General features: G+C 47.6%; 2 protein-coding genes across 4 annotated transcripts in view, besides 5 other annotated features; one reads left to right on the top strand and one right to left on the bottom strand.

Moving 5' to 3' along the window:
• Positions 1 to 17,956, top strand: part of HEATR4 (HEAT repeat containing 4) — a 155,331-nt gene that overhangs the window by 11,315 nt on the left and 126,060 nt on the right. The gene's annotated exons all lie outside the window — the stretch shown is intronic.
• Positions 2,612 to 11,555, bottom strand: ACOT6 (acyl-CoA thioesterase 6). 3 transcript variants are annotated; one of them, NM_001365789.1, is made up of 4 exons: positions 11,459 to 11,555; positions 10,903 to 10,984; positions 5,308 to 5,510; positions 2,612 to 3,266 (listed from the first exon to the last, which is right to left on the bottom strand). In NM_001365789.1, exons 3-4 carry the CDS (start codon positions 5,323 to 5,325, stop codon positions 2,661 to 2,663), a joined length of 624 nt encoding a protein of 207 aa, NP_001352718.1. In that variant the 5' UTR covers positions 5,326 to 5,510; positions 10,903 to 10,984; positions 11,459 to 11,555; the 3' UTR covers positions 2,612 to 2,660. The 3 variants fall into 3 exon arrangements, with proteins under 3 accessions (NP_001352718.1, NP_001352717.1, NP_001032239.1); NM_001365788.1 differs by lacking the exons at positions 10,903 to 10,984; positions 11,459 to 11,555 and adding an exon at positions 9,468 to 9,983 and having other exon boundaries at positions 5,308 to 5,506; NM_001037162.1 differs by lacking the exons at positions 10,903 to 10,984; positions 11,459 to 11,555 and having other exon boundaries at positions 5,308 to 5,656.
• Positions 5,195 to 5,783: an enhancer, noted in NCBI's record as "OCT4-NANOG hESC enhancer chr14:74083421-74084009 (GRCh37/hg19 assembly coordinates)". NCBI's record gives its function as "activates a minimal SCP1, AML or CMV promoter by ChIP-STARR-seq in naive H9 embryonic stem cells {active_cell/tissue: H9 hESC(naive)}" and the evidence as "EXISTENCE:reporter gene assay evidence [ECO:0000049][PMID:30033119]".
• Positions 8,403 to 8,647: a silencer, noted in NCBI's record as "fragment chr14:74080557-74080801 (GRCh37/hg19 assembly coordinates)". NCBI's record gives its function as "represses an EF-1alpha promoter that drives an FKBP-Casp9 reporter gene in an ReSE screen in K562 erythroleukemia cells {active_cell/tissue: K562}" and the evidence as "EXISTENCE:reporter gene assay evidence [ECO:0000049][PMID:32094911]".
• Positions 9,306 to 9,805: an enhancer, noted in NCBI's record as "H3K27ac hESC enhancer chr14:74079399-74079898 (GRCh37/hg19 assembly coordinates)". NCBI's record gives its function as "activates a minimal SCP1, AML or CMV promoter by ChIP-STARR-seq in primed H9 embryonic stem cells {active_cell/tissue: H9 hESC(primed)}" and the evidence as "EXISTENCE:reporter gene assay evidence [ECO:0000049][PMID:30033119]".
• Positions 9,723 to 9,772: an enhancer, noted in NCBI's record as "active region_8705". NCBI's record gives its function as "activates an Ori minimal core promoter by ATAC-STARR-seq in GM12878 lymphoblastoid cells {active_cell/tissue: GM12878}" and the evidence as "EXISTENCE:reporter gene assay evidence [ECO:0000049][PMID:35858748]".
• Positions 9,823 to 9,872: an enhancer, noted in NCBI's record as "active region_8704". NCBI's record gives its function as "activates an Ori minimal core promoter by ATAC-STARR-seq in GM12878 lymphoblastoid cells {active_cell/tissue: GM12878}" and the evidence as "EXISTENCE:reporter gene assay evidence [ECO:0000049][PMID:35858748]".

Below are 17,956 nucleotides of genomic sequence, written 5' to 3'. Positions count from 1 at the left end.
ACCCAGGAGGCAGAGGTTGCGGTGAGCCGAGATCGCACCACTGAACTCCAGGCTGGGCAACAAGAGCGAAACTCTGTGTCAAAATATATATATTGGAGACAGGTGGCCACATACAGTCACCTCTCAGGGAAAAGCAAGCAAATATCTTCAGTCAGTGTATGCCATTTCTAGGTTGCTTTATCTGTAAGGAAGAAATCGAGGTCTAGGGCTGTCTTGCCCTAGTTCTTCAATACATATAGATGTGGAGTCATCATTCTCCTGCATGACTTCTGGGACTACCTTTTTGGCCTTTGCTTTCTCATCCTCCCTGCCACTTTCCTCATATCTTCCTCCTGTGATCTCCCACCCCAAGAGCATCTCCACAGTAGCAGGTCCACTTGGGAGTGAGTTAAAGCATAGGCTCCCAGAATTCACATCATAGAAAATTATACTACACAGGCCAGGCGCAGTGATTCACGCCTGTAATCCCAGCACTTTGGGAGGCCTAGGGGGGCAGTTCGCTTGAGCCCAGGAGTTGGAGACCAGCCCGGGCAACGTAATGAGACCTCATCTCTACAAAAAATAAAAAGTTAGCCAGGTTTGGTGGTGCATGCCTGTAGTCCCAGTCACTTGGGAAGTTGAGGTGAGAAGATCACTTGAGCCCAGGAGGTTGAGGCTGCAGTAAGCCATGATCATGCCACTATACTCCAGCCAGGATGACAGAGTGAGACTGTCTCAAAAAAAAAAAAAAAAAAAAAAGAAAGAAAGAAAGGAAAATTATACTACAAGGTGAATGACTATACTCAACACAGAGTTTAACAACTGATCAAAATTAAGTTACCTCTAAGGAACTTTTCATTGTTAAGATCTAATGGGCACTTGCTTGGATAGATTGAAATTGGTGAAGGATTTTGTACGTACTCAGAAAATCATGGGATGTGCCGTGAAATCACAGAAAAACTTTCTTATGCTCAAGGAAGACTCTCTGCTCTGGTCTGTTATGACTCTAGATAGTGCCCAGTATACTGCAGTAGGTTGAGGCAGACAGGTCCCAGTCCTTCTCAGTAGGAGGGTAATTGGACTAGATGGTTGTGGGAGGAAGTCCGATTTGGTAGGTATAACATGACATCAAAGATGAAGGCCATGGCGTGCAAGGTATTGTCCTGAAAATCTTGGCATCAAGGCATTCCTCCAGGCAGGCAATGACCATATAGTGACTGGGAATCCCCTGGCAAACGTAAAAGAAGTATATCCACAGGTATAATGCTCCTGGTCTTCAGACTGGCGTTCAGAGACAAGTGTTTTTTGAGACAGAGTTTTGCTCTTGTTGCCCAGGCTGGAGGGCAGTGGCGCGATCTCGGCTCACTGCAACCTCCACCTCCTGAGTTCAAGCAATTCTCCTGCCTCAGCCTCCCAAGTAGCTGGGATTACAGGTGCCCGCCACCTTGCCTGGCTAATTTTTTGTATTTTTAGTAGACACTAGGTTTCATCATTTCATCATGTTGGCCAGGCTGGTCTCAAACTCCTGACCTCAGGTGATCCACACGCCTTAGCCTCCCAAGTGCTGGGACTACAGGCGTGAGCCACCGTGCCCGGCCCAGGGAGAAGTCTTGAGTAAATGTTCAGCAATGTGTATGGGCAAGAATGAGGTAGAGCCAGGCGTGGTGGCTCAGGCCTGTAATCCCAGCACTTTGGGAGGCTGAGGTGGGTGGATCACCTGACATCAGGAGTTTGAGACTAGCCTGGCCAACATGGTGAAACCCTGTCTCTACTAAAAATACACAAATTAGCTGGGCATGGTGGCACGAGCCTGTAGTCCCAGATACTCGGAAGGCTGGGGCAGGAGAATCGCTTGAACCTGGGAGGCGGAGGTTGCAGTGAGCTGAGCTCGTACCATTGCACTTCAGCCTGGGCAACAAAAGCGAGACTCCGTCTCAAAAAAAAAAAGAATGAGGCAGAGTCCATTCCTTAAGGCAATCGAGTGGGCAGTTTCCCAAGACTCAGACGTGGTCAGTTAGGGCCAAAGGGGATATGAGACTCCAGAGCAATACCAAAGGTCAGTCCTCAGAAAGGGAACACGAGGCCAAAGCTGGGCCAGCAACTGAGTTGGGAAAGCACTTCTTACATTTCTCTTGCTTAAGGTGAAGACCGGTCCTACATATAAGATCAAGGTTAAGCCTACGTGGACCTAGCAGTGACGGAAGGCAGGTTGCAAAGGTTGAGAATCAGGGAGGACCTGACAAAAAAGCTGAGCTGGTTGCTTTGTCACTAAAAAGGTTGCTACGGGCTCTGGGAAACCCAACACAGGCTGGGTGTGGTTGCTCACACCTGTATTCCCAGCACTTTGGGAGGCTGAGTGAGGTAGGCATATCACCTGAGGCAGGAGTTCAAGACCAGCCTGGCCAACATGGCGAAACCTTGTCTCTACTAAAAATACAAAAATTAGCTGGGTGCCGTGGTGTGCACCTGTAATCCCAGATACTCGGGAGTCTGAGGTCGGAGAACAGCTTGGACCTGGGAGGCAGAGGTTACAGTGAGCCAAGATTATGCCACTGCACTCCAGCCTATGTGACAGAGTGATACAGGAAAAAAAAAAAAAAAGAGAAAAGAAAGAAAGAAAACCCAACACAAGTTGTATGAATAGGATTTTTATTAATGGTATCTGGTCTGTGGCTACAATGTTATATTTTGCTGTGCTTGACAGATTTTTTACCATTGAGATGTTTATGGAAGAAAGTTTGAATTTGCTGCCAGGCATCTACCTGTGCCTTTGAGTGAGCCTTTGGCTCACCTCCATAGAATATTGCCTCACCCAAAACAGCGTGCACAGAAGCTCTAGAAGGAGGAAAATAAGGTGGGTCAATACAGTGACCAGTTTCTGGGTAACAGATTATCTGGGGTCTTTCTTTCCCATGAGCTTGTAGCCTTTCAGAGGCTATCTGAGCATAGAATTCACTCTTCCAGCTTTGATCATCCATGCCAACAATAAACAAGAAGGGCACCTGCGCCTTTTCCAATGGAACAAGACTTTGGTGATTGTGTTCCTCCAGTGGATTGCTCCAAGTGTCCATAAAAGTGAGAAATCCTGACTTAGTGATTTTTACTTTTCCTAGATCATCGACAAGTTTAGGAATAATCATATCCTTGTAATGTAGAGGAGCTACTGTGTTGGCTACACAGGCATTGATAAGTACAGTGGCTGTGATGCCCTTCAAGAAAGAAGCCATTGAGAGACACAGGTCACCTCCTTTGGAAAATCCAAGAAGCGCAATACTAGGACCTTTCACCTGTTGAGGAAAAAGAGAAGGAAAACAAGCTTAGAATTCATAAATGGAGGACACAGACAGTGATTTTACATTCTCCAAGTAGCTTTCTCTTTTTTTTCTTTTTTGAGATGGAGTCTCGCTCTGTCACCCAGGCTGGAGTGCAGTGGTGCAATCTTGGCTCACTGTAACCTCCACCTCCCGGGTTCAAGCAATTCTCGTGCCTCAGCCTCCCGAGTAGCTGGGATTACAGGCGCCCACCACCACGCCCGGCTAATTTTTGTATTTTTAGTAGAGACAGGGTTTCACCATGTTGGCCAGCTGGTCTCAAACTTCTGACCTCAAGTGATCCGCCTGCCTTGGCCTCCCAAAGTGCTGGGATTATAGGCATGAGCCACCGTGCCCCGCCAGTAGCTTTCTTAACTATCATTTGCTTTCCTTCCGTATCCAACAATCTGCAAAGTTCAAATATGTCTTCTAATAAGCAAATCAACTGATTTCCTAGTAATGGGTCATCCCCTAATATTTATGAGGACTGGGTCAGGAGTATACACAGAGGCCCAGACACCCTATACCTAAATATTTCAAAATTATAAATCAAATGAACAAACTGTTAAATACAGTATATTATTTTCTCCTGCCTTGATAAATATACCACCATAACAATTCATAAGTTCAGGCTCAAATTTAAAATCTTGGAATCCACTGGAGTTCTGTACTGGAAAGTGACATAGGGGAGAGGTCAGCCCGTGGGCCCTGCACCACACTCCTTCTCTTCCATCACTGGCTCCTTCGTGGACCTTAAGGGGCCTCTCACACATATGTGTGGACACCCCAGCTTGCATGTTTAAGGCCTAGGTATATATACACCGACGAACCCAGAAAAGAGGCTTAGGGCCTGGAAGCAGGATCAGAGCTGTTTGGCAGAGAATTCTGGGGTGCCGGATCCCAAGAGCACTAGGGGTTGTGGGGGAGAGAACCCTGCAGAACATCTTATATCTTAACATTAGAATGTCTGGATCTCTTTAAACCTGGATGATAACAAAGAGTATATATAATTCCATTTTTAATTATACCAAAATTTGTTGTCGTTGTTGTTGTTGGGTTTTTTTTTGAGATGGGGTTTCATTCTTGTTGCCCAGTCTAGAGTGCAATGGTGTAATCTCGACTCACTGCAACCTCTGCCTCCTGAGTTCGAGCAATTCTCCTGCCTCAGCCTCCCGAGTAGCTGGGATTACAGGTGTGCACCACCATGCCCAGCTAATTTTTGTATCTTTAGTAGATGGGGTTTCACCATGTTGGCCAGGCTGGTCTCAAACTCCTGACCTCAGGTGATCTGCCCGCCTTGGCCTCCCAAAGTACTGGGATTACAGACGTGAGCCACCGCACCTGGCCAAAATGTTTTAATTAATTAATTATTTCTGTTATCAGATAAGGACTTTCTTTACAAAACCATAATACCATTATCATACCCAACAAAATTAATGATTACTTCATATAATCAAATACACCATTCTCATTCAAATGTCTCCAGTTGTCTCAAAAAATATCTCTTTATAGTCATTTTCTCTATATACATTTACATTAATCTTATTAAGGAGGAAAATTGAACTCCAGAGAGAGTAACTGCCTTATTCAGAATCATAAGGCCACTCTGTGGTAGATGCAGAGCTGGAACTTTTTTTAGTCCTGTGCTCTTTGAATTTTGGTCCACAATTACAAAGACAACTAAATAGTCAAGTCTTCAGGGATTAGAGAGAGATGGGAGAAAATGGAAATAATAATCCTAGTACAAAAACTTTTTTTGAGACAGGGGTCTCACTAAATGTTGCCCAGGCTGGTCTTGAACTCCTGGGGTCAAGCAATCCCCCGGCCTCAGCCTCCCAGGTAGCTGGGACTACAGGTGCACATCACCATGCCCAGCTTCCACCCTAGTAACCTTTGAAGGAGACTTGGTATCTCCTGGCATGTTTCTAGTTCTCAGTGTTCTGGCAGGGCTTTTGGATTCAGCCCTGCATCAGCTCTATCCCCTCTCTTCTGCACTCAGGTGATCACCAGAACGCACCTTTGGATGCTGCAGCATAAAGTCCACGGCTTCTTCAAAGTACTCCAGATGTACATCATTCAGATCTTCGGGGAGGTCTTCAAATCTGAAATAAGCCAGGGCAAGCACAGCAAAACCATGTCCGGCCAGGAGGCTGGCCCTGTATTCACAAAGGCCCCTGCTGCTCCCAAACAGATCAATGATCCCAGGAAAGGGCCCCCTGCCTGGAGAACATCACAAATCACAGGGAGCTTTAGTTTCTCAAAAGACAGTAAGCAAACAAGTTTTTGAAGCCAAGGAGATTGGGGGTAGAGAGATTGGCAGAGAAAGAACAAAATGTCTTATTTTCTCAAACAATAATGATAATATAGAGGGATAAAAAACTACATATTGGGTACAATGTATACTACTCAGGCGACAGGTGCACTAAAATCTCAGCGTTCATCACTGTACAGTTCATCCGTGTAACCCCAAACCACCTGTACACCAAAAGGTATTGAAATTAAAAAAAAAATTTTTTTTTGACAGTCTCACTCTGTCGCCCAGGCTGAAGTGCAGTGGTGCAATCTCAGCTCACTGCAACCTCTGCCCCCTGGGTTCAAGCAATTCTCCTGCCTCAGCCCCCCAAGTATCTGGAATTACAGACATGCAACAGACACCCGGCTAATTTTTTTTGTATTTTTAGTAGAGACTGGGTTTTGCCATGTTGGCCAGGCTGGTCTTGAACTCCTGACCTCAGGTGATCTGCCCACCTTGGCCTCCCAAAGTGCTGCGATTACAGGTGTGAGCCACCGCAACCGGCCTAAAACTTTTTAATGATATAAATTATTGTCACACCACTGCACTCCAGCCTGGGTGACAGAGTGAGACTCTATCTCAAAAATAATAATAATAATAATATTATTTTCACAAACAAAAATAAACCAAGTTAGAAATAACATAATGAGGCCAGGTGTGGTGGTTCATGCCTATAATCCCAGTGCTTTGGGAGGTCAAGATAAGAGGACCACTTGAGGCCAGGAATTCACGACCAGCCTGGGCAACATAACAAGACCCATCTCTACAAAAAAGTTTAAAAAACTAGCTGGGCATGATGGCACTTGCCTATAGTCTTAGCTACTCAGGAGGAAGAGGCGGGAGGATCATCTGAGCCCAAGAGTTCCAGTTTGTGGTGACCTGTGATCACACCACTGCACTGTAGCCTGTAGATCACTGTAACCTTGAATCCTTGGGCTCAAGTGACCCTCCAGCCTCAAGAAGCCACCCTCCCAAGTAGCTAGGCCCCTATGCTTGGCTAATTTTTAACTTTTTATAGAAATAGGGTCTCACTATGCTGCCTGGGCTAGTCTCAAACTCCTGGCCTCAAGCAATCCTCCCACTGCAATGCTCCCACCTCGGCCTCTTCAAGTGCTGGGATTTTAAGTGCGAGCCACTGCACTCAGCCTGTTTGTTTGTTTGTTTGTTTGTTTGTTTGTTTGTTGAGACAAGGTTTCACTCTTGTTGCCCAGGCTGCAGTGCAATGGTGCGATCTCGGCTCACTGCAACCTCCGTCTCCCCCCGGGTTCAAGCGATTCTCCTGCCTCAGCCTCCCGAGTAGTTGGTATTACAGGCATGTGCCACCACACCTGGCTAATTTTGTATTTTTAGTAGAGATGGGGTTTCACCATGTTGGTGAGGCTGGTCTCAAACTCCTGACCTCAGATGATCCGCCCACCTTGGCCTCCCGAAGTGTTGGGATTACAGGCGTAAGCCACTGCGCCCAGTCTTGTTTTTTTTTTCGTTGTTGCTGGTTTTTTTTGTTTTTTGTTTTTTTTTTTTTTTTTTTATCAGACAGAGTCTCTCTCTGTTGCCCAGGCTGGAGTGATGTGGTGTGATTTTGGCTCACTGCAACCTCCACCTGCCGGGTTCAAGCAATTCTCCTGCCTCAGCCTCCTGAGTAGCTGGGATTACAGGCGCCCGCCACCATGCCCGGCTAATTTTTTGTATTTTTAGTAGAGACAGGGTTTCACCATCTTGGCCAGGCTGGTCTTGAACTCCTGACCTCGTGATCCACCCACCTTGGCCTCCCAAAGTGCCGGGATTAGAGGCGTGAGCCACCGCGCCTGGCCGCCTTGTTTTTTTTTTTGAGATGGAGTCTTGCTCTGTCCTCCAGGCTGGAGTGCAACGGTGCGATCTTGGCTCACTGCAACCTCTGCCCCCTGGGTTCAAGAGATTCTCCTGCCTCAGCCTCCTGAGATTACAGGCACCCACCACCATGCCCGGCTAACTTTTGTATTTTTAGTAGAGACGGGGTTTCACCATGTTGGTCAGGCTGGTCTCGAACTCCTGACCTCAGGTGATCCACCTGCCTCGGCCTCCCAAAGTGCTGGGATTACAGGCGTGAGCCACTGCGCCCGGCTCCTTGTTTGTTTTTAATGAAAGGTTTTAGTTGATTCTTAGTCAGTGTGATTTTTTTTTTTTTTTTTTTGAGACAGGGTCTCGCTCTGTCGCCCAGGCTGAAGTGTAGTGGCGCAATCTTGGCTCACTGCAACCTCAGCCTCCCGGGTTCAAGCGATTCTCCCACCTCAGCCTCCCTAGTAGCTGGGACTACATGTGTGAGCCACTATGCCTGGCTAATTTTTTTGTATTATATAATTAGTAGAGGTAGGGTTTTGCCATGTTGGCCAGGCTAGTCTTGAACTCCTGGCCTCAAGTGATCCACCCACCTCAGCCTCCCAAAGTGCTAGGATTACAGGTGTGAGCCACTGCGCCTGGCCCAGTCAGTATGATTTATTGAGCTCCTACTATATCCTTGCGAAAGCCTCTAGGAACATGGATATTTAGAAATCTGTAAGACCCAATTCCAGCCCCAGGAATTCACAGTACAGTGGGCAGCCACGAGTTAAGGCTAAGAATTGCTGAAGAGCTGTAAAAATAAAGCAAGTTTTCTTGTTTTGGAGAATAATCACAGAATTCGGTTTAAGGATTCTATGTGCTGTTGCAACTCTAGAATTTGTTGTTGTTGTTGTTGTTTGAGGCAGGGTTTCACTCTGTTGTCCAGGCTGGAATGCAGTGGCGTGATCTCAGCTCACTGCAACCTCTACTTCCTGATATCAAACAATCCTCCCACCTCAGCCTCCCAAGCAGCTGGGACTACAGGCATGCACCACCATGCCTGCCTAATTTTTTTTTTTTTTTTTTTTTTTTTGTAGAGACAGAGTTTCACCATGTTGCCCAGGCTGGTCTTGAACTCCTGGGCTCAAGTGATCTGCCCACCTCAGCCTCCCAAAGTGCTGGGATTACAGGCCTGAGCCACTGTGCCCGGCTCATCATTTTTATATGGTAGAGGTTTAAGTCAGGAATTTAGTTAGAAGGGATTAATCAGGAGTCTTCTTTCTGGGCTACCTTTACCTAGCAAACATCCTGTGTTTACTTAGACTAGGGTTCCTCAACCTCAGTAGTACAGACATTTTCAGCAAGATAATTCTTTGTTCTGGTGGTTGTCCTGTGCATTGTGGAATGTTTAGCAGCATCTCTGGCCTCTGCCTGCTAGATGCCAATAGCACCTCTCCCTTCAGATATGACAACCACAAATGTCTCCAGATATTGCCAAATTTCCCCCAGGGAGGGCGGCTAATCATTGCAGGTTGAGAACCACGTACAGCATGTTTATGATAGAAGGGAGAGGACTGTCAGGCAGTTTTGTGTGTGTTTTTAAACAATTAAAGGGCATTGCCAATACTGTGGATTTTAGCTTCTTTGGAAGTTTGATGTGAAAGGAGGCAAAAATCCTTCTTGCACATCAGCTTAAGGTTTTGCCCATATCGTATTCAAACAAAACCACATGGCTGGCACATAGTGGCTCTCAATAAATATATAATAAGTTGAATGCACTATTCAGCACATAGCTAAAGTGGTGGTGCCTCCAGGGAGGGACGTGAAACTTAAAAAGGAAAGACTGGAGTAGCTACTCAGGAGGCTGAGGCGAGAGGACTTGAGCCCAGGAGTTCGAGGCTGCAGTGTGAGCTACGATCCAGCCACGGCACTCCAGCCTGGGCAACAGCGGACGCCCAGACTCAGAATCCATGACAGACTCTGGAGCGAAGGAACAAGTTCAGGGATGTTCCACAATCACGCGATTCCCAGGACAGGAAAGGGGCCGGTGGGGGTCGCAGAGCTCGACCAAATTCTGGGCAGACTACTCATCCGGCGGCAGGAAGAGCGCGGCGCGCACCGGGCCCGCGCGCACCGGCTCGCGCCGCACCCCCGGCCGGAGAAAGTCGCGCTTGTTCTGCGCCAGGCACAGCAGCCGCCCGGGCTCGGTGTCGTGGCCGTCCAGCACTTCCAGCTCCACGGCGAAGGGCGTCCGCACGTCGCGCTTCACCAGCCGCACCAAGGCTTTCTCGGGCTCCAACGCCCACAGCAGCCCCATGGGCTGGAGCCCCGCGAAGCTGCCTCCCAGCGCGGGCGCGCGCTCCAGGTCCAGCTCGTCGCGGGCGTCGGCACGGTAGCGCGCGTGGGCCCGGAAGAGCGCGCCCTCTTCGTCGCGCAGGGACGTGCGCAGCGTGACTGGCTGCTCCGGGGCCAGGCCGCGCACTGCGATGCGCAGCGGCTCGTCCCAGCAGCAGCGGCCCGCGGGCTCCAGGATCAGCGTCGCTGCCATCCCAATCTGGGTAGAACAGGGGCGACCCAGCTCCGCGGAGTCAGTGGGCGGGCCTGGCGGCTTTGCCGAGCGCTGGAAAGTAGTCGAGGGCGGAGCCCTTAACACTACTCCCATTGGTTGGACTTGGGGACAGGCTCCAGGCCGCTGCGTGGGGCGCCTAGAATTTGTGCAAATACACCAGTGTCCCAAATGAAAGAGTATCTGCTGAAATAAGAGTTAATGACCAATCCGGCCGGGGGCGGTGGATCACGCCTGTGATCCTAGAACTTTGGGAGGCCGAGGTGGGTGGATCACACCTGAGGTTAGGAGTTCAAGACCAGCCTGACCAACAGAGTGAAACCTCATCTCTACTGAAAATACAAAATAGCCAGGTGTGGTGGCGCATGCCTGTAATCCCGGCTACTTGGGAGGCTGAGGCAGAAGAATTGCTTGAACCCAGGAGGCAGAGGTTGCATTGAGCCAAGATTGCACCATTGTACTCCAGCCTAGGCAACAAGGGCAAAACTCCGTCTAAAAAAAAAAAAAAAGAGTTAATGACTATTCCTGCAATCCAATGTGGTGAGTGTCGAAATAGAGGCACAAAAACCACTGAGAGCTAAAGGATTGAGAGAGATACAGTCCAAGAATCTAGATTTTGAAAAAGCATCCCAGGTGATTGTACTCAGGTGACCCCTTGGAGAAACATGGTCGTAATCCGTCCTTTACCCCTCAGTCCCTTACCAAGCCTTTTTTCCAGGGCTAATGGTACCTGGAGCAAAGCAGATGTTTAGGGAGGCAGACCTAGCCGAGTTCTGGTCTGACCCTGATCCTTAATATTAATACCTGGTGATCTTTAGCAAGAAACATAACCCTCTAAATTCAGTTTTCTTATCTGAAAAGGCTTATTGTGACCATTAAATGGGCTAATGTGTAAAAACACTACACTGACACACCTGTAGGTTAGTACCCAGTGAAAGTTTTGTTTTGTTTCTTACCTCACAAATCTAATCACTGGCAGAGTCCATTTTGGGTTGTATGCATACAGAGTTCTGGCAGTAAGCAAGTGGCACTCTCAGCCTGTGTAATTGAGGAGAGTTTTATAAAGGTACTATCTACAAAGGCATGGGCAAGATTTAAAAACAAAAACAATGAAACAAGATTCGGTGTAGAACCCTGAATCTGAAGGTTCAAGGGAAGGGGGCAGTCTGATAGGAGTTGTACCTTTTTTAGAAGGAACCTATGGTTTGTGGCAGGAAGGAGGAGACTATAAGTCCCTTGACTCTCCTCTTGTTTTTCAGTATCTTGCTAATGCCTCTCTTTGGCCAAACCCAACCACACAGCTCAACCTAGCTGGGAACATAGCAGGGTGGAGAAGGAAGAAGAGCATATAGTGATGCCCAGCTCAGTAAACATGTATAAACTGAACAAAAAGGTATTAGACTCTATGAAGCAAGTTCACTGTATGCTGGTTACCAACTTGTCTGAGTCCAGTGAGAAAACACATTCATATATTTAATACAACAATTTACATGAACTGGATTTATTACTTACAGATAGGCAGCAAAGAATGACAGAAGCCTAAGAATCATTGGAAACCAGTCCCCCAAGGCTCAGGAATGCTGCCTGGGTGATGGAATCTCATGTGTGTGTGCCCCACTTGCACTGCAGCTGCCCTGAGTTTTGTACTCTGGGGTCATGTGACTGCTGGGTTAAAGCATTGAAAGACATCCTGTTTGTAGGGAGGGGCTGGAATAGAGCCAGGGCTATTCCAGCCAGTCCGTCCCTCTCTCAGGATGTTACATTCCCAGCACGTTCTATGCTTGAGAACTACTAGTGAGAAAGAGGGGAGAACTGAGTCAGTCCAAGGCCAACCAGAGAACTGCCCTGCAGTCCATCCCCAACCCAGATACCTCCTTTAGTAAACCTAGTACATTTCATATGCCCTCCAGACCCCCAGGATCTGGAGGCAGAGGTTTGTCTGATCATATTAATATGGCACCTTGGTCGGGCACGGTGGCTAATGCCTGTAATCCCAGCACTTTGGGAGGCCGAGGGGGGCGGATGACTTGGGGTCAGGAGTTTGAGACCAGCCTGGCCAACATGGTGAAACCCTGTCTCTACTAAAAATACAAAAATTAGCTGAACGTGGCAGCACGCGCCTGTAATCCCAGCTATTCAGAAGGCGGCGGCAGGAGAATTGCTTGAACCCGGGAGGTGGTGATTGCAGTGAGCCGAGATCTCGCCACTGCTCTCCAGCCTGAGCGACAGAGCAAGACTCCCTCTAAAAGAAAAAAAAAAAAAAGCGACACTTGACTGAAACAATCTCGGTGCAACATTGTTAAGCCATGGCCGGAATATATTGCATTAGGCCCAGGAGACTACTATAATAAGCAGGATGATCAGGCTTGCTTGGAGCTGTGGCCTACCCCCAAGTCCTAGTGATCCAGGCAAGAAGTTTTGAGGTCCAAGAAAGATTCTTTAGGTAGCCACTCTGACTGCAACCAGTAGGCCTGCTTCCAGATCCTCTACCTATGTCTCCACCATGCCTGAGGTGTTTATCCAGGTACACCAGGAGGTGTTGGCAGTGGCACACACTCCTCCCAATTAGTCTAAAAAAAAAAAGGGTAGAGGAATTCTGTTGTTTAAAACAACCTGGCCAGGCGCGGTGGCTCATGCCTGTAATCTCAGCACTTTGGGAGGCTGAGGCGGGTGGATCACGAGGTCAGGAGTTTGAGACCAGTCTGGCCAACATGGTGAAACCCCGTCTCTACTAAAAATACAAAAATTAGCCAGGCATGGTGGTGCGTGCCTGTAGTCCCAGCTACTCGGGAGGCTGAGGCAGGAGAATTGCTTGAACCCGGGAGGCAGAGGTTGTGGTGAGCCGAGATCGCACCACTGCATTCCAGCCTGGGTAACAGAGCGAGATTCTGTCTCAAAAATAAAATAAAATAAAATAAATAATAGAACAACCTTCCCAAGGGAGTTGAAGGATGTCCCTGTGCTGCCAAGGCAGTGGCACTGGAAGCAGCAATATCAGGCACAGTTTTCTTATCATTTTTTTCATGAGCACTGACTCCTATATATGGTACCAAAAATTTCATAGAGGACCTAAACCTAGAATCAGCCACGACCTGGCAGGTTCCTAATAAGCATGGTGCATACTTTTAGACTACTGGCCCAATGATGTTTCTTGTACCCAGGGGTGATATGCAGGAGCACCCCCAGCATGCCCAATGTCCAGGATCCCATCATCTGCCAGCTTTCCAGGTATGACATTGTCCATCCCATGTTTGGCTCACTCCCAGATCACCCACAGAGGAAGAGGCAGCTTTTGGATGCACACTGCATCATTTTATTCAGCAACCCAGTCATGGCTATGGAGGATTGGTATTCACCAGCCAATTCTCATTGATGGCATAGTGACATGAGCTCAGTCTCCCCCATACAATCAATATCGTTCACAAAACCTGTACACAGAGGGTTAGCATTACACCTGATATGGTTTGGCTGTGTCCCCACCCAAATCTCATCTTGAATTATAGTTCCCATAATCCCCATATGTCCTGGGAGGGACCTGGTGGGAGGAAATTGAATCATGGGGGTGGTTAGTCTCATGCTGTTCTGGTGATAGTGAGTGAGTTCTCATGCGATCTGATGGTTTTATAAAGGCTTTCCCCCTTTTGCTCAGCACTTTTTGTTGCCGCCATGTGAAGGACATGTTTGCTTCCCCTTCTGCCATGATTGTAAGTTTCCTGAGGCCTCCTCAGCCATGCTGAACTGTGAGTCAATTAAATCTCTTTCCTTCGTAAATTATCCCATCTCAGGTAGGTCTTTATTAGCAGTGTGAGAACAGACTAATACAGTAAGTTAGTATCACAGAGAGTGGGGCACTGCTGTAAAGATACCCAAAAATGTGGAAGCGACTTTGGAACTGGGTAACAGGCAGCAGTTGGCACCGTTTAGAGGGCTCAGAAGAAGACAGGAAAGCGTGGGAAAGTTTAGAACTGCCTAGAGACTTGGAGGGCTCAGAAGACAGAAAGATGTGAGAAAGTTTGGAACTTCCTAGAGGCTCATTAAATGGCTTTCACCAAAATGCTGATAGTGATATGAACAATGAAGTCCAGGCTGAGGTGGTCTCAGATGGAGATGGGGAACTTGTTGGGAACTGAAGTAAAGGTCACTCTTGCTATGCAAAGAGGCTGGTGGCATTTTGCCCCTGCCCCAGAGATCTGTGGAAGTTTGAACTTGAAAGAGATGATTTAGGGTAACTGGCAGAAGAAATATGTAAGCAGCAAAGCGTTCAAGAGGAAGCAGAGCATAAAAGTTTGGAAAATTTGCAGACTGACTATGCTATAGAAAAGAAAAACCCTGGCGGGGCACAGTGGCTCATGCCTGTAATCCCAGCACTTTGGGAGGCCAAGGCAGGTGGGTCACAAGGTCAGGAGGTTAAGATCAGCCTGGCCAAGATGGTGAAACCCCATCTCTACTAAAAGTACAAAAATTAGGCAGGCACAGTGGCAGGCGCCTGTAATCCCAGCTACTCGGGAGGCTGAGGCAGGCGAATCGCTTGAACCCAGGAGGCGGAGCTTGCAGTGAGTCAAGATTGCACCACTGTACTTCAGCCTGGGCAACAGAGCAAGACTCTATCTCAAAAGAAAAAAGAAAACCCCGCTGGGCATGGTGGCTCATGCCTATAATCCCAGCACTTTGGGAGGCCGAGGTGGGTGGATCACCTGAGTTCAGGAGTTCGAGACCAGCCTGGCAAACATGGTGAAACCCCATCTCTACTAATAATACAAAAATTAGCCAGGCGTGGTGGTGCATGCCTGTAATCCCAGCTACTTGGGAGGCTGAGGCAGGAGAATTGCTTGAACCCAGGAGGCAGAGGTTGCAGTGAGCCCAGATCGCTCCATTGCACTCCAGCCTGGGTGACAAGAGCGAAAGTCTTCCTCCAAAAAAAAAAGAAAGAAAAGAAAAGAAAACCCTATTTTCTGGGGAGAAAATCAAGCCGGCTGCAGAGACTTGCATAAGTAACAAGGAGCCTAATGATAATCACCAAGACAATGGGGAAATGTCTCCAGGGCATGTCACAGACCTTCATGGCAGCCCCTCCCATCACAGGCCTGGAGGCCTAGAAGGGAAAAATGATTTCTTGGTCTGGGTCCAGAGCCCTCCTGCTGTGTGCAGCCTTGTGACTTGGTGCCCTGTGTCCCAGCCACTCCAGCCCTGGCTAAAAGGGGCCAAGGTACAGTTCAGGACATTTCTTTCTTTTTTTATTTTTTTGAGACTGAGTCTCTCTCTGTCACCCAGACTGGAGTGCAGTGGTGCAATCTTGGCTCACTGCAACCTCTGCTTCCCAGGTTCAAGCAATTCTCCTGCGTCAGCCTCCCGAGTAGCTGGGATCATAGGCACGTGCCATGACACCCAGCTAATTTTTGTATTTTTAGTAGAGACAGGGTTTCACCATGTTGGCCAGGCTGGTCTCAAATTCCTGGCTTCGTGATCCACCCACCTCGGCCTCCCAAAGTGCTGGGATTACAGGCGTGAGCCACAGTGCCTGGCCTCCATCTTGTTTTATGACCTTGAGAGCTTGACGTTGTAACCACAAGATGGTACTTCCTCTTGGTCTCCACCTTCCAGTGAACAGAAATTTGGGGGATCATGTTATAGTTAGCTCTAAAAATTATTGAGTAGTTAAAAGCCTTTGCAAGCTCAGAATCAACTACTCTAGACTCCTTCTGGGAAGGTGAATGAAGACTGCCCAGTGCTGTAGCTCAGTAGCTAAGATCACTGTGTGATCTCTCGCACAGTGGCCTAGGTTCAATTCCGGGCTCAGGGAAGGAGTCCTGATTGGTTTGATATCTGAGTGATGTTTACCATTTGTTGATTCTCTTCCCCTCCATGAATCATTTTGAATTTTCCTTTCTCTGTGCACCTGGGAGGTTACCTTTGGTAAGGCTCAAAAGCCAGACATATTGGCAGTTTTGTAACCACCCAATGGGTTCACCTTGCCTGCTTCCTAGAGAGAGCTGATTTTGTAACCACCAAATGGGTTCACCTTGGCCACTGCTAGATAGACCCTATTTCTCAAGATTTGCAATAGAGAAAGAGTAATTCACACAGAGCCAGCTGTGTGGGAGACTGGAGTTTTATTATTACTCAAATCAGTCTCCCCGAGTGTTTGAGGATCACAGTTTTTTTTTTTTTTGTTTTGTTTTGTTTGTTTGTTTCTTTTTGAGACAGAGTTTCATTCTTGTTGCCCAGGCTGGAGTGCAATGGCAGGATCTCGGCTTACCGCAACCTCCACCTCCTGAGTTCAAGTGATTCTCCTGCCTCAGCCTCCCGAGTAGCTGGGATTACAGGCATGCACCATCATGGCTGGATAATTTTGTATTTTTAGTAGAGACGGGTTTTCTCCATGTTGGTCAGGCTGGTCTTGAACTCCCGACGTCAGGGAGGATTACAGTTTTTATGGACAACTTGGTGGGTGGTGGGAAGCCAGTGAGCCGGGAGTGCTGATTGGTTAGGTAGGAGATGAAATCACAGGGAATTGAAGCTGTTCTTTTGCACTGAGTCAGTTCCTAGGTGGGGGCCACAAGATCCGATGAGCCGGTTAATCGATCTGGGTGATGCCAGCTGATCCCTGAAGTGTAGGGTCTGCAAAGTATCTCAAGCACTGATCTTAGGAACAGTTTAGGGAGGGTTAGAATCTTGTAGCCCCCAGCCAGGCACTGTGGCTCATGCCTGTAATCCCAGTACTTTGGGAGGCCAAGGTGGGTAGATCACCTGAGGTCAGGAATTCAAGACCAGCCTGGCCAATGTGGTGAAACCCTGTCTCTACTAAAAATGCAAAAATTAGCTGGGCATGGTGGCAGGCACCTGTAATCCCAGCTACTTGGGAGGCTGAGGTAGGAGAACTGCTTGAGCCCAGGAGATGGAGGTTGCAGTGAGCCAAGATTGCACCACTGCACTCTAGCCTGGGCAACAGAGTGAGACTACATCTCAAAAAAAAAAAAAAAAAAAAAAAAAAAAAAAAGAATCTTACAGCCTCCAGCTGCATGATTCCTAAACCATGATTTCTAATCTTGTGGTTGATGTCAGTAGTCTAGTTCCCAGGCGAGGAGGTTTGTTTTTGGGAAAGGGCTGTTATCATCTTTGTTTTAAACTATAACCTATAAACTAAGTTCCTCCCAAAGTTAGTTCAGCCTACACCAAGGAATGAACAAGGACAGCTTGGAGGTTAGAAGCAAGGTGGAGTCGGTTAAGTTAGATCTCTTTCACTGTCTCAGTCATAATTTTGCAAAGGCAGTTTCAATCTTGCATGGCTAGAGTCGGGTAATAAGACATTTAAAAGGACTTTTTTTAAAAGAGCACTATGGTTAAAAGTCAGCTTAATTGAAAGTGGATATCCAAACTATAGATATATCTAAAGGGCCCTTATGTTTTTTTTTCTTCTTGGATCTTGTTTTGCTGGAAAAAGGTTTTTTTTTTTTCTTCTCAGTTAACTGAATTATTTTTCTCCGTTTTGTCTTGCCACTCTTATGCACACATGAGAAGCACTAAGATAACTTCTGGTAGCCTGGGACTCATTGGGAAAAACAGGAGGTGCCACAAGACCCTGTTTTGGGAAACCCTCTGTTTTCCTTATGAAACCCCAAGAATTAAAAGTGGATAGATCCCTCTCAAAATCTGTTTTTGTCTTCCAGCTGTGCCTGCTTATTAGACCTTAGAAACTGCATGTTTTCCTTGCCCCTGTTTCTTGAAGGGCTCCACCCTGAGGCCAGTAATCCAATTAAGAAACTGGCTAGCTGGGCATGGTGGCTCTCGCCTGTAATCCCAGCACTTGGGAGGCCAAGGCTGGTGGATCATTTGAGGTCAGGAGTTCGAGACCAACCTGACCAACATGTTGAAACCCCTTCTCTACTAAAAATACAAAAAAATTAGCCAGGTGTGGTGGCGCATGCCTGTAGTCCCAGCTACTTGGGAGGTTGAGGCAGCAGAATCACTTGAATCTGGGAAGCGCAGGTTGAAGTGAGCTGAGATCACACC

Source organism: Homo sapiens, chromosome 14, assembly GCF_000001405.40.
Source record: "Homo sapiens chromosome 14, GRCh38.p14 Primary Assembly".
NCBI classification, from domain to species: domain Eukaryota; kingdom Metazoa; phylum Chordata; class Mammalia; order Primates; family Hominidae; genus Homo; species Homo sapiens.
The sequence above is the reverse complement of the archived record's forward strand: the minus strand, read 5'-3'. Positions and strand labels throughout refer to the sequence as shown.

Bases quoted from the DNA above. Each gene is read 5' to 3' on its own strand.
- ACOT6 (NM_001365788.1), bottom strand. From the start codon at position 9,928: ATGGCAGCGACGCTGATCCTGGAGCCCGCGGGCCGCTGCTGCTGGGAC. The intron at 5,507-9,467 runs GTAGTCTGCCCA...TTCTCCAGGCAG, and splicing joins CTCTTCCTGCCGCCGGATGA to GGGGCCCTTTCCTGGGATCA. The intron at 3,267-5,307 runs GTGCGTTCTGGT...TTTCCTCAACAG, and splicing joins TTATGCTGCAGCATCCAAAG to GTGAAAGGTCCTAGTATTGC.